This window comes from Homo sapiens, chromosome 7 (assembly GCF_000001405.40).
Source record: "Homo sapiens chromosome 7, GRCh38.p14 Primary Assembly".
Taxonomy (NCBI): domain Eukaryota; kingdom Metazoa; phylum Chordata; class Mammalia; order Primates; family Hominidae; genus Homo; species Homo sapiens.
The window spans coordinates 20,692,657-20,707,373 of NC_000007.14; the positions used below are offsets into that span (position 1 = coordinate 20,692,657).

Here is a 14,717-nt window from a genome sequence, read left to right on the forward strand (position 1 = left end):
ACATTATATTATGGGTTTTTTTAAGACAAGTATTAGTAAAATGTTTGAAAACAATAGCCAAAACACTGGGAAAAAGAAACTAAAGTATTATATTTTAAGGTTCCTAAGTGGTATATAACATTGTCTGAAGGTAGATTGTGATGTTAAGGACAGCCAAAGTAATTTTCTTAGAGCAAACAACATTACTAGGGATAAAGAAGTTTCTTTCAAAATTAAAAAGGAATCAGTTTATCCAGAACTGCAAATAGACAAATCTCCAATTGTATTCAGAGATTTCAACACCCTTCTACTAAATCTTAGTAGAACAAGTAAATAGAAATTCGGCAGAAACATAGATGACTTTAATAGCACTATCAACAAATTTGACCTAATAAACATTTGTAGAAGACTTCACATATTAACAACAGAGTATGTCTTCTTCTCAAATGCACTTGAAACATTTACCAAAATAGACCATATTCTGGACTATAACACAAGTCTCAATAAACTTTTAAAAATTCACATAATACCAGCCTGGGTAACATAGGGAGACCCTGTTTCTACAAAAAAAAATAATAATAATTAACCAGGAATAGTGGCATGTTCCTGTAGTCCCAGCTACTGGAAGGCTGATATAGGAGGATTACTTGAACCCAAGACTTTGAGGCTGCAGTGAGCTATGATTGCATTACCGTACCCCATGTTGGGTAACAGAACAAGACCCTGTCTCAAAAAAAAGAAAAAAAATCAAGAAATGCAAAGTATATTACCTGACCAATATGGAATAAAGTCAGAAGTCAATAACAGAAAGTGGTCTGGGAAACCTTGAAATATTTATAAACTACATAACTCACTTCTAAATAATGCACAAATCAAAGGAAAAATCAAAAGAGAAACTCAAAAGTGTTTTGAATTGAACAAAAATGAACACTGAACATATCAAAATGTATAGGAAGCTTAAAGTGATACTGAGAAAGAAACTTGTACCACTAAACACCTATACTATCTAAAAATCTCAAATTAATATACTAAGCTTCCACCTTAAGATACCAGAAGGAAGAAAATAACAAAGAAAAATCAATCAAATACAAAGCTGGTTCTCTGGGAACATCAATATTGAACTCACTGAGCAAGAAAAAAAAGAAGATACAAACTGCCAACATCAAGAATGAAAGAGCTGACATCACTACAGATTCTACATATATTAAAAGACTAATAAAATAATCTTATTAAAACATTTATGCAAACAAATCCTACAACTCAGATGAAATGAGCAAATTCCCTAAAGTTTACAAACTACCAAAGCCCACTCAAGAATAAATTGATAGTTTGAATATTCTTACATTTATTTTAAAAAATTGAATCTGTGGTTAAATTCTTTTTTCCCTAAAAAAAAAAACAAAAAAACAAAAAAACTTTAAGCCATATGGCTTTACTGATGACTTCTATTAAAAAAAAAAGTGATAAGGAAGAAGTTCTTATTCTATGAGACCAACATCATTACTCTGATATCAAAATTAGACAATGAGATTACAAAAAAAATAAAATTATAGACAAATATCAGCCATGAACATAGACGAAAGAATTCTTAACAAAATGTAACAAATCTAATCCAACCATATAGAAAAAGAATAATATATCATCACCAAGTAGGACTGTTCTAAAAACTGAAAAGTTGGTTTAACATTCAGAAATTAATGTAATTCTCCTAATTAAAAAAATTAAAAAGAAAAAACCAATTATCTCAATCAATGCAGAAAACCCATTTGATAAAATACCCCATCATTTTTTGATAACTCTCAGCAAGCAACGAATTAAAAGAAATTCCTTCAACCTGATAAAAGGCAGCTACAAAAAACAACGGCTAACATCATACTAAATGGTGAAAGACTAAGATCGAGAACAAGGCAAGGGCATACACTACATCTATTGAACATTGTACTGGAAGTTCTGGCCTGTTCAATAAGGCAAGAAAATAAAAGCATCCAGGTAGGAAAGGAACATGTAGGAGTGTCTTTATTCACAGATGGCATGATTACTTATGCAAACAATCTTATGGAATCTACACATACACACACATACACGTACTAAAACTAATAAAGTTTAGCAAGGTTGTAGAATATGTGACAATATACTAAAATCAATCCCAATTCTATATACTACAAGTGGGAAGTGGGAAATTAAAAATAAAAAAATAATTTTATGTACAATAGTACCAAAATATTAAATTATAGGGAATAAATGTGATCAGAGATTGTAAAACCCACACACTGCAATCTATAAAATATTACAGAGAAAAACTACTGAGAAAAATAGACTAAATAAATTAAAAGATATTTTCAATGTGAGTGAATAAGAAAATTCAGTATAGTTAAGATGTTCTTTCTCCTCCAATTGAATTCACATGGAAATGCAGAAAGCCAAAATAGTCAAAATAAATTTTTTTTAAAAAGAGCAAAGTTGGAAGAGGGATACTACCTGATTTCAATTCTGTTTCAACTACTATATAAAGCTAATTACTAATTCTCATTTCAATTACCTATAGAACTATAGTAATCAAAACATTTCAATGGCATACAAATAGACAAATAGATCAATGGAACAGAAAAGAGAGCTGAGAAGTAGTCCCACACATAAATGGTCAATTGCTTTTCAACACAAGGGCAAAGGCAACTCAATTAACAATTTTTTTTTTCAAAAAATGATTCTGGATCAATTATATATCTATAGACAAAATAATCAGCCACAACCCATACCTCAAACCACAGATGAAAATTAACTCAAAATGGATTAAAGCCCTTACGTAAAACCTAAAATAATAAAACTTCTATAAGAAAATGCAATAAAAAAATCTTCACGACTTTGTGTTAAGCAAAGATCTCCTAAATATAACAACAAATGCATAATTTATAAACAAAAAAATTGATAAGTCAGACATTACCAAAATCAAGAACTTCATTATTTGTAAAACACTTCAAAGAAAATGAAAAGGATAGACCATAAACTAGGGGAAAATGTTTGTAAATCACATATCTGATCAGGACTTGTATCCAAAAAATATAAAGAACTCCCAAAGCACAATAATAAAAATACAAACAACCCAATTAAATGTCAGCAAAAGATTTGAAAAGGCATTTTGCTAAACAAGATGAGCACATTGGAAATAAGCACACAAAAAGATGCCCAACGTGGTTAGTCATTTCAGAAATGCAAAAAAAAAATCACAATGAGAAATCACTATACACCTGTTAGAATGGTTAAATCTAAAGAGACTGACAGTACCAAATATTGGTGATGGTGGGGTGCAACTGGAGCTTATTTAGCTGGTGGGAGTATAAAATGCTAAAGCTACTTTGGAAAATAATTTGTCAGTTTCTTAAAAAGTGAAACATTCACCTACTAAATGATCCAGCCATTTCATTTCTAGATATTTGCTCAAGAGAAATGAAAGTATATGTCCACACAAAGCCTTGTATATGAATGTTCATAGCAGTTTTATGTGTAATAGTCTAAAAGTGGGAACCACTCAAATTTATATCAACAGGTGGATGGATAATAATTTGTGAGATAGCTATACAGTGAAATGCTATGCAGCAATAAAAGGAAATGATATGCTGATTTATGCCGCAGCATGGATAAATGGCAAAATAAGTATGTTGAGCAAAACAAGCTATCTGAAAAGGAGTAGATAATGTATGATTTCATTTATATAATGTTCTAAAAATGCAAACTAATCTATAGTGACTGAAAGCATATCAGTAGTTGCAGGAGGAAGGAAGGAAGAGGACTGGCAACTAAGAAGTGTGGAGAGAGGGATGATAAAAAAGCAGGAGAAAACTTCTAGGGGTAATGGATATGTTTATTATCTTGACTTTTTTGATGTTTTCCTGAGTCTGTAGCAGTGTTCAAATTTATCAAATTTTACATTTCAAATATGTGCACTTTGTTATATGAAAACTATAACTCAAGAAAGCTCTAAGCTGTATCAAATGAAATTTAGAATATTTTAGATATCACTTTTTAACTTTTTAATACTCGTCATATCTCTTTATGTCTATAATTTTATGTTTTTGTATGAGATTATTTTAACGCATGTACAACCTGTCTCATATTTAAGTAACACAGCCTATTTTATGATTTTACTGAAATTTTTGTTTTGTTTTTATCTTATTTACTTCTTTTCTATCTTGACAACACTATTTAAATGATACCATTTTAAATCTTTTATTGTGTATTTTCCCAGAGGCAAAAGAACATCTTTAAATTACCTATGTAATGTAGATCGTTCTATAGGAGGAAGATAGCCCTCCTAATTTCCTGGCTCTGTAATTTACTGGTGTCCTGGCACATGTTAAACCTTAATCTCCTTACCAAATAAGGTAATTTTGTAATGCACTTAGTTTCATGCTCAGTGCCTGATAGTTAGCGTGCAACTTTTTAAATTTTTGTACATTCTTTTGAACAGTGACCTAGCTGAAATGTTGTGCCCTTTTTGATGATGAGCTTTAGAAAACTTCAGCAGGAAAAATGATGGATACAATCAAATTATTAAGTAATCCAATATAAATGTGGGTTAGCCACCCTGAAAATGGACTTTAAAGGCATCAGAATTTCAAAGTTCTGTTGTCCAAACAACAGTCCGCATTATAGTGGCCACACTGAGAATAGAACGAGAATTATAAACTATTTTATAGTCTTACTTGAAGAATTCTCTGGTTATTAGGTCCATAAATGTCATTATTTTAAGAGTGAATGCCATGAGGAAGTTTTAATGAATGAAATACCAAAGAATTCACTGTCTACTTTCCTACTCAGAATAATTACTCACCACAAAGCTGTTCAGAAGAATTTTTAAGATTCTGAAATACACTACTTATTGCAGACAAGAGCCAAGAGAGATCGTTATCGTATTATTTATCCTCTGACCACTGTGACCACTACCTCCCCTTGTCACCTTCCACGTCTCCTAGGAAGGGCTGGCAGACCCAGAATGACTACTTGCATTGTGCTTTCTCTGTATAAAACCTGAAATTTTGTGTAACATAATCCTTCCTCTGTAATAACATCAGAAACAGCAATGACTGCTAGCATTTATTGGGTGTTTATTGTTTGCAAATACAGTGAGTTGCAAATGTACTGAATAAAGCTTAATTGTATAAACAATCCTACAAGATAGGAACTGATACCACTCCCCTTGGAAAAATGAGGAGACAGTCTTGGTGAGTTTAAATAATGTGCTCGGATATTGCAATATTTTGCTTGTAAATAAGAACTCCAAAACAAGCCAAGGTATTAGGAAAATGTTTTTGTAAATACATCTTGAAACTTTCCAACTTTCAAGTTTGAGATCGTAATGAAACTTTTACCTTCCACATTTTCTTTTCTTAGCTTCTGCCTAGATTTTTTTCTTATCCTGTAGTACAATATTCCATCCAGTTTAACAAGAGTAAAGAAAAATACACCTGCCATTTCTTTTGTGACCCTTAACAATTACATGTGAGTTAACTGTACTTTTTAAATAATAGCAACTGAGTGAAATGCCAAAAAGTGATATTGCACAAATAGTCACTTGTGGCAAATCTTCTTTTATTTTATGCTTTAGGGTCATCGTTAATAATACGGGCAGTGAATTTTTTAAGAAAAATATTTTCTACCCTGCTGTCTGTTATGTTTGATGTTATACATTATAATTCTGTTTATGATGGGCTAACTTCACTAGATTCTGTTATGCACACAAACTGGCATTTTTAACCAACATATTTTATTTTTAGATAAGTCTTCCTGAAGTCTCTCTATTAAAAATTTTAAAGTTAAACAAGCCTGAATGGCCTTTTGTGGTTCTGGGGACATTGGCTTCTGTTCTAAATGGAACTGTTCATCCAGTATTTTCCATCATCTTTGCAAAAATTATAACCGTAAGTAAAATAAATTTGCTAATACTTTCAGCAATTTAAAGAAAGTATGACCTGAGAGAACAAGCTTGTATCAGTCTAAACCACAAGGGGAAAATTGGGACTTTTAGTGGGCCGCCCCTAGTGTGGAGTCCGTGATAGGAAGGTTAATTAATGTTCCCAGGAGATAAGCCAGCATCTCTTGTAAAGTGTGTGGCCGGGCCTTGTTGACTGGGCAATCAGTGAAGAAATTGCTTTGTTTTCTAATTTTTACTCCAGTGCTGGATCAGCATTCCAAAACACTGAAGAAATAAAATAGGCAAATACAACTACTTTCCTTTCAATTAGTGGGTATAGTTGCAATTTCTTTTCTTACCAGCCAGCTCAGGGAGAAGAAATAACAAGAGTCTGGGATTTTGCTAAAGGACTCAGGGCAATTGGTGTGTTTAAGGATCTTACAAGATCCATGCTTACTCTTCAATGTTAACTAAAGTTCTAGCCTGGAACTTCAGTCTCCCTAATTTGCACAGCTATACTTTATCAGTATAAATGCCTGTGTATGTATGTTACTAATTTTTAAGAAAAATTCTGGGGGCACATTAAAAAGCCTCACCTTGCAGGTACTACTTAACTAGAAGACTACTAAGAAACTTGAGTGATCAAAAATTATTCAAAATAATAATTCAAGCAAACTGGTGGTTTCTTGGGAAATATACTGTGATAATAATAGCAGATAGATGACTCATTATTCAGATCTCATATTTACATAGTTTGAGAATTAAAAGCAAGTTATTTTTTATCATAGATAATGTATGCAGATGATAGCATCATGGTGCACTTTTTCCCACAGAAATGTGTGTATAGTTTTATTTTTATGTTGAAATTTATTTTAAGCTGGGTGCAATGGCTCACGCCTGTAATCCCAGCACTTTGGGAGGCGGAGGCAGCCGGATCACTTGAGGTCAAGAGCTTGAGACCAGCCTGCCCAGTATAGTGAAACCCCATCTCTATTAAAAACATAAAAATTAGCCGGGTGTGGTGGTGCGCGCCTGTAATCCCAGCTACTCGGGAGGCTGAGGCATGAGAATCACTTGAACCTGGGAGGCAGAGGTTGCATTGAGCCAAGACTGAGATCGCAACACTGCACTCCAGCCTGGGCGACAGAGCAAGATTCTGTCTCATAAAAGAAAAAAAAAAAAGAAATGTATTTTAAAACTCCTGATATACAGAAATTTTCACTTTTTCTGTTTCTTTTATATTTTCCCCCAAACACCTGATAAAAATCTGTTCCTTTTCAGATGTTTGGAAATAATGATAAAACCACATTAAAGCATGATGCAGAAATTTATTCCATGATATTCGTCATTTTGGGTGTTATTTGCTTTGTCAGTTATTTCATGCAGGTAAGCTTTTAATAAACAAGCCTGAGCATGATTACTTTTTGTTGCCATTCTTTCTATTTGAGTTAAAAATATATCAACTAAATGTTACAAAGGAAAAGAACGTAGATTTTTGTTTGTTTGCTTTTCAGGGATTATTTTACGGCAGAGCAGGGGAAATTTTAACGATGAGATTAAGACACTTGGCCTTCAAAGCCATGTTATATCAGGTCAGTGATAAGTTGATTTTTTTTTTATTTTATTTAAAATTTATTGTAAAACATTCTAGCTTTAATTCTGTCTCAAGTCAATTTTTGACATAATCTTTCTTTGAAAGCACACTCTTTTTGTTCTAAGCAGCAAAAATCTGATGTCAGAAGTCTTATATTTTTCTAAAAGAAGCAAGTCCAAAAGTGTGACGTTAAAAAAATACAGCTTATAGAAAAGAATGTAGGATCTACTCATTGTTCCTTGCATTCATCTTGACAAATCTTTCTTTTAATGAATGATGTAGTGTTCTGGGATCAGAACGGAAGGCCAAATTAAAAAGGAGAAGTAAGAGCTACCATATCTTGGGAATGTATCTGAAAAGAAGTTGTTAATTTCTGTGGTTCTAATTCATGTGCATAGCTTAAGTTTTTTGACTCTACACTTCTTAAAGCAGCCAATCTCTCTGCCTTTATCAGAAGAGTCCTGAACTCAGATAACATCGGTCTAGCTGCCAGGTCTGCCTGCCTCACGCAGATGATCAGTCCCCGCTGTGAAATAACTAAAAATAGGTGGATCAAGTAGTAATCTTGAGAAGTGAGTCTTGGGGGCAAATGGAAGGAATGTCTCAGACTGGCACCTCTAAAATTCTTTCACGAGGCTAAAATGTATTGGGTTACCCTGAAAGCCAGTAATCATTAGTAGCCCTTCACCTCACTTTCTGTCACAAAAGCTCACCAGGCAGGAGCAAATAGCTTCCTGCCAAGGTGATTTCTTTTCAGAAATAGAGTTACTGTCACTCCAACTGAGTCGTCAAAACCCATTTTTAAGTCTTATGACTTTTAGGAGCAGTGCTCTGAAGGCTGCCGTGCAACAGCTGTACTCTTAGGGAGCTACAAGATACAAAACGGAAAGAAGCAAGTCGGAGGTTTCCCACGGCAACACCGTGGTCTAAAGCAATGGGTGACCTTACACCTTCTGTGCAAAAAGGTCCCATTTCTGCTTCTTGTTCCACATTTGGAGACACTCCTTAATCCAGAAAAACAAAAGTCTACTTGTAGGATCATAAATCAATTTGATGCCAGCACATACCTCTCATGTTAAAGTTGTACATTATTATTTTTTAATTTATGAATACTTTAGGTCTTTACTGCAAATATTCCAAGAAATAAGTTGAGACTTTAATTAACTAATACTGTATTTCACATTTGTTGACTATTTCTGCTCATTTTTGTTTTTCTTTAAATTTATCTTTTTCCCTGTTCAAATAAATTTATTTTAAATTTCTAGAAACTTTTGAAAAGGTTTCCTGAATGCCTAGATGTTTGTTTTTATACAGAAGAATATAAATTTTAATTTTTCCAAGCATACTTTGAACTTCCTTTCTGTTCATGGAATGCTTTTAGTGGAAGAATTTCAAAGCCATGAGACCGTTTAATGAGAGAAACTGTGGTTAATCTAGTATTTTGATGGTTAATACTGGACATTAATCCTCTGTCTAGCATTAGCCATGTGAATATTAGGACTGTAACATTTTTAGATACAGTAGCTTCTGCTAATAAGGATGCTTGAAACTATAAGCCATAAACTCTGGGTTTTAAAATATCATGTACATACTCACAAAGACTTGCACAGAAAGTCTATGCCACTTAGCACATGTTATTAAATATCCCCATAAGTTAAGTTGTTTGTTTTCCTTCTTCATCCTTCAGCACTCTTTTTGATTCTTAGCTTTACCTTTTAAAATTGGAGAAAAAGAAGACTAGTATATTTAGCCCTTTCTTTGTAAGCATCTTCACAGTTTTGCTTTGTCTATAGTAAGGGAAGCCCCTAGTGTGCAGTTTTATCTAACTCTTATTACCTGATTTTTGTCCTAAGATAAGACTTTTTAAAATTTAACAACCGTGCTCAGACTTGCAGTGCTTTTTATAACCATTGTGAAACTTCATTTGAGGTAGAGGTATGTAAAGAAACAGGTGTGTGTAGGTATAAAATCCATATTTTATGTGATTACTTTAGATTCTTCCTGTTGAAAAGAATGTTCTAAGTGTTGCTGACTTCAGTCACTGAATAATTCGTCGTTCATTGTGTTTCAAAGTTAAGTTTACAATTCTTAATGATAAATAATTACCTATAGAGCTATTGAGTTTTTGAACATGTAAGAAGTTTATTTTTCCCCATTTCCCTCTAAATTAGATTGGCTAAGGCTTCTTGGGGTTCTTTAAATTATGATAGCATTGATGGTGATCACTAAGGGGCTTCAAAATTTACCTAAGCTAATTCCAAAAGGCTTTGAGGTAATGAGTCCTGGAGCATGAGAAACAGGTCATGAAACTCAGCTGTAATTCTTCAGTCAGATGGCAGGCCGAACAAAATAATTGATTAAGAACTTAAATAATCTGTACAACAAACCCCCATGACACAAGTTTACCTGTATCACAAACCTACACATGTACTCTTCAACTTGAAAGTTTAAAAAACAAAGTTTTTAACAAAAAATATCCATTGAGGCTAACTAAACAATTAGTATTACATATAATGGATTTTTTTTTTTTTTTTTTTTTCCTGAGACACAGTCTCGCTCTGTCGCCCAGGCTGGACTGCAATGGCGTGATCTCGGCTCACTGCAAGCTCCGCCTCCAGGGTTCACGCCATTCTCATGCCTCAGCCTCCTGAGTAGCTGGGACTACAGGCGCCCACCGCCACGCCTGGCTAATTTTTTTTTTTTTTTTTTTTTGTATTTTTAGTGGAGATGGGATTTCACCATGTTAGCCAAGATGGTCTCGATCTCCTGACCTCGTGATCCACCCATCTTGGCCTCCCTAAATGTTTTCATATATATTGCCTATGCTGGAAAACAATCCCTGGAGTACACAATTGCTGTCTTGCCAAAAAGCAATTTCAGACATCTTGCCAACTGAACATCAGATAATGACTAAGATTAATCACATATGTACCTATTCATGGTGTTTTACAGCGAGTTACTATAGAATCAGGAATGTAATATTCAATAATAAATTCTTTTCATATTTTTTACTTTATACTGTATCTAAAAATGATCTGTGCATTCCATGTCATGTTGAAATCTAGAACCAATTAGAAAATACATAAAATATCTTAATTTTGGAGAGAGAGAACACAATAAAAAGCAGGTGATGTCTTTCAGTTCAGCAGTGCTGTGTTTATTATTGTTGCTGCTGTGTATTCACAGTATGTTAGGCTCTTGCCTGGGATTGTGCTTTCAAAGTGGCTACTGTCCGGTGCAGACTGTAATCTCCATAGGATGCTCTTTGGGCATCTAGGACCCGAAGCTCATGCAGACACCTTCCCAACACAGTGGCTCAGGGTGGTGCTATCATGCCTGGCTCCTACCATATTCCTCCATAAAAGTTTTCATCTAACATATGATGTGCGTGATTAAGGCACAGCCCTCAACCTGCTATGCCTTTGTTTTGCCTGTTACCTGGGCCTCAGAGCCCTGGCTGGGTTGCAGTAAGCCAAGATTTTTTTGTTCTTTACTCACTAAAAATAAACCATCTTTCAGAGACAGTTTCCACATGGTTTTAATCTACAAGAGATACAAGTGGTTCCAGTGAGTGTGAGGAAACATTCAATAGCTATAAGAGGAAATCAGAATTCCTCAGGCTGAGAAGCACTAAGATGTGCTGTCTCCATTTGCTGTTGAAAATAAAATTGGTTATTACATTATACTTTTATTGCTTGTAATTTTGACGTGACTCCTTCTTTAGATTGCATACCTCTTAACTTCAGGAGTTTCACAGCCTTCTGCCCTTTTAGCTTCTCACAACGCCCATTGCTGTAAGTTCTAGGAGGTAATGTGAAGCATCAGGGAAAATCTTTATTATATGGCCCCTAAAGAGAAAGAGATAGACTTTTTATCATTAGTTAGTTTAGGTAGAAAGTTTTGAAGATATTTCTAAATTGTGTTGTTTATTGCCTTCCTTTTTTTTTTTTTTTTGTGAGACAGGGTCTCACTCTGGCATCCGAGCTGGAGTGCAGTGGTGTAATCTCAGCTCACTGAAACCTCTGCCTCCCAGGCTCAAGCAATCCTCCCCACCTCAGCCTCCCAAGTAGCTGGGACCACAGGTGCACACCACCATGCCCAGCTAATGTTTGTGTTTTTTGTAAAGACAGAGTTTTGCCATGTTGGCCAGGCTGGTCTCGACCCCCTAGACTCAATCCTCCCACCTTGGCCTTCCAAAGTGTTGGAATTACAGGTGTGAGCCACCGCTCTGGCCTTCATCGCCTTACTTTTGAATTATGTCTGCTTTTCACAAATGACTTATGGAATAAAATTACAAATCACTTGATGGTTGAAAATGACCATTTTAATTCAACATTGATTATTATACTATATGTGGTGATGAGTAATGAGTCCAAGCTCTTGGGCTTAAGTTCTTCAGTTTATATATAAATATAGATCTTCATGAAAAAATAAGCAACAGTCATTCAATCCATAGTATTTTATAGGAATTAAGTACCTGTGAGTGAGGAGGCAGGTAAATGTTTTCTGATTTACAGCAGAAAAATCACAAGTCAGATAAAAAAAATGATTTTTGACAACCATATGTTAATTCTCCTTTTCTCTAGGATATTGCCTGGTTTGATGAAAAGGAAAACAGCACAGGAGGCTTGACAACAATATTAGCCATAGATATAGCACAAATTCAAGGAGTATGTATATTGTTTTTATTGTAAATGATGTATGTATGTGGTGTGCACACATGCAATGCACACATGTGTCTGTGCATATATGTGAGCTGTGCTGAGATGACCCACATCATTAATGAGGCCAGGTAAGTCTCACGGTTAACAGGTAACTCTCAGTGAAAGATGAAAGGAAGACTTTCCGTTCTGGATATTTTTAACCAAAAATAGAGAATATTTAGTACCTGTAATAGGATAACTAGAGGACTAAAGAAGAGACCAAGAATAAGTTAGAAAAAAGAGCTCAGAATTAAATAGTTAGATAAGGAAAAGTAACGAAATGAAAACACACACACTTTGAGTTTTAATATAAGAAAAAGGTTTAGTTTTTCCTTCCCCCAGAAAATAAGATTTTAGTTAAAATAATGTCTAACAATTCAGAGTCATGTGTGCATCAGAAATGATTCTGTACTACTTGTTATACAAGTTAAAAAGAATTGTGTAATCATGACCAGTAATATGCATAACCAAGATATTTGTATATATTCATAATTAGTGATGGAATGACCAGCATAATATGTATCAAAGTCATGCTTAAACAGCTGTGGGGAGTAGAGGAGTATAGAAGAGGTAAGTAATAATTTGTTAGTTTTCTTTTAATTATTTTAACAAAATTCACCTTTGTACAACAAATGGGATCTTAACTGAGAAAAGCAGCAGAAAACAAGGTTTCCTACTTTAAACTGAAGTAAAATAAAGCTTTCTATTTCTGTTAAAATAAAAATTCTAGTAGAGTTATAGGCTTTCCTTTTTCCTTATCATGCATTTGGGAGAAAAGGAAAATGTCAATAATTCACTTCTGAATAACAGAAAAATCTTACAAGTATTTATTCTGTTTAGGAATACTGAGATGTTGCTTGAAGCTTTGTTAGCAGAGCAACAAACTGTCAACTAAAGCAACCCATCAGAATTGTATGTTTCTTTTAGAGATTATTTCCACAGGATATGGCAACCGTTCTAAGTTGTTTTTTTTTTTTAACTTTTGCAAGACCTCTTTGTTTAATATACATCGGCAAGATCGGATTTATATTATCAGAAAATAGAATAAGTGGGTTACAGTTGTGAATATTCACAAGCATTCATTTTGGTTTACAAAGCTAATTTTATGATGGAGAAAGAGCTCGAGAGGAAAGTGGGCATCTTCATCTCTTCCTGAAATTCATTTTGTTAATTTTGAAGGCAAGGTTCTAGAATTTTGTTAGATAGTATTTAGATTCTAAAATAGGGCTGAGGAGTTCAATTTTATTGGCATACATGAAAAGATGGTGGATAGAATTTCACTTAATAATCAAATAATGGGTATAGCATTAACCTCCGTAGCACAATATAATTATCTGATTAACTTCTGAGTTTAGGAATTCCATGGTATACTACTCCAGGCAGAAATATCAATCCCTATAATTCCATTTGAATTCCCACTCCACAAAATTTGCTATTTTTTCTTTACTGTGTTAATGTTTGTCTCTTACTACTTATATTTCAAATCTTTTCGGAATCTTTTGAGTGAAACAGGCATTCTTACCAGCAGCTATATTAATATGTGAGACATTTCTTTTAGCAGATATTTGCTTCAACTGAAAAACCAAATTATACTGAAAGACCCAACATTACTGTCCTTACATTTATTAATTGTTACTAATAAATAGTATTGTCCCTGAGGGAAATTACGGGGAATAGTTGTCAACCTGATTATAAGCACCTGACTAATATCATTTCATCACTTGAAACTTCATTGTTGCAGTTATTAAGTGCTGGTCTCACAATAACTTCTAGACAAGTCAAATCTTTTTCATTAGAACTAGTAGCTAGAGAATAAATGGTTGGAATCCTGATGAAAGATTTTAAAGTTGCCAAATTTAAAAAGTAAAACAAGGGGTAAACTGTCCCAGGTTGCAAATGGAGTCAGTAAAACTCTCAGGCTGATCAGTAGTGGGATAGTACCTGTGAAGAGCCACTGTACTCCAGCCTGGACAACATAGTGGGACTCTATCTCTATATTTTAAAAAATCTAATTTTAAAAATTAAGTTAATGAATAAAACAATCGAAGAAAGATTTCAGGAGTGAGACTGTGTCTAATAAAATGTAATTTATAAAAATTCTTACTTTGCCATATAAAGATGGATTCATATTCAATTTCAATGGACAGTTTTTCTATAAAAGGAAGAGTTGTTTACCAAACTTATTTGTCCACAAATGAATTCTTCCTCACAAGGACACTGTAGCATAAAGATGAGCTAGGAAATAATAATTTGGGGGTCATATTTCCTATCATATTGACTTAAATAAGTCATACTCATCTCAATTTCTTCATCATGTAATTTCAGTTATATTTTATTCTATCAAATATATTAGAATGAATGTTCATAAAATAGCTCCTTAATAATAACAAATCTTAGTTTGAAACCTTTAACTCATGACTGTAAAGGTATTCCTCTGGCCATTTTTTAAAGCTTTGATATTTTTGAAAGTCATGATAAAAACATGCTAGTGAAATAGAGTCATAGGACAACATGATTCCTAGATAGTTGTCTG

At 33.8% G+C, this 14,717-nt stretch overlaps 1 protein-coding gene across 2 annotated transcripts in view; it reads left to right on the plus strand.

Moving 5' to 3' along the window:
* ABCB5 (ATP binding cassette subfamily B member 5) overlaps window positions 1–14,717 on the plus strand; it is a 141,342-nt gene that overhangs the window by 76,990 nt on the left and 49,635 nt on the right. For both annotated transcript variants that reach the window (NM_001163941.2, NM_178559.6), the window contains 4 exons: window positions 5,751–5,894; window positions 7,169–7,273; window positions 7,402–7,479; window positions 12,068–12,151. In NM_001163941.2, the coding sequence (NP_001157413.1) occupies window positions 5,751–5,894; window positions 7,169–7,273; window positions 7,402–7,479; window positions 12,068–12,151 (411 nt within the window). The remainder of the gene's footprint in view (window positions 1–5,750; window positions 5,895–7,168; window positions 7,274–7,401; window positions 7,480–12,067; window positions 12,152–14,717) is intronic.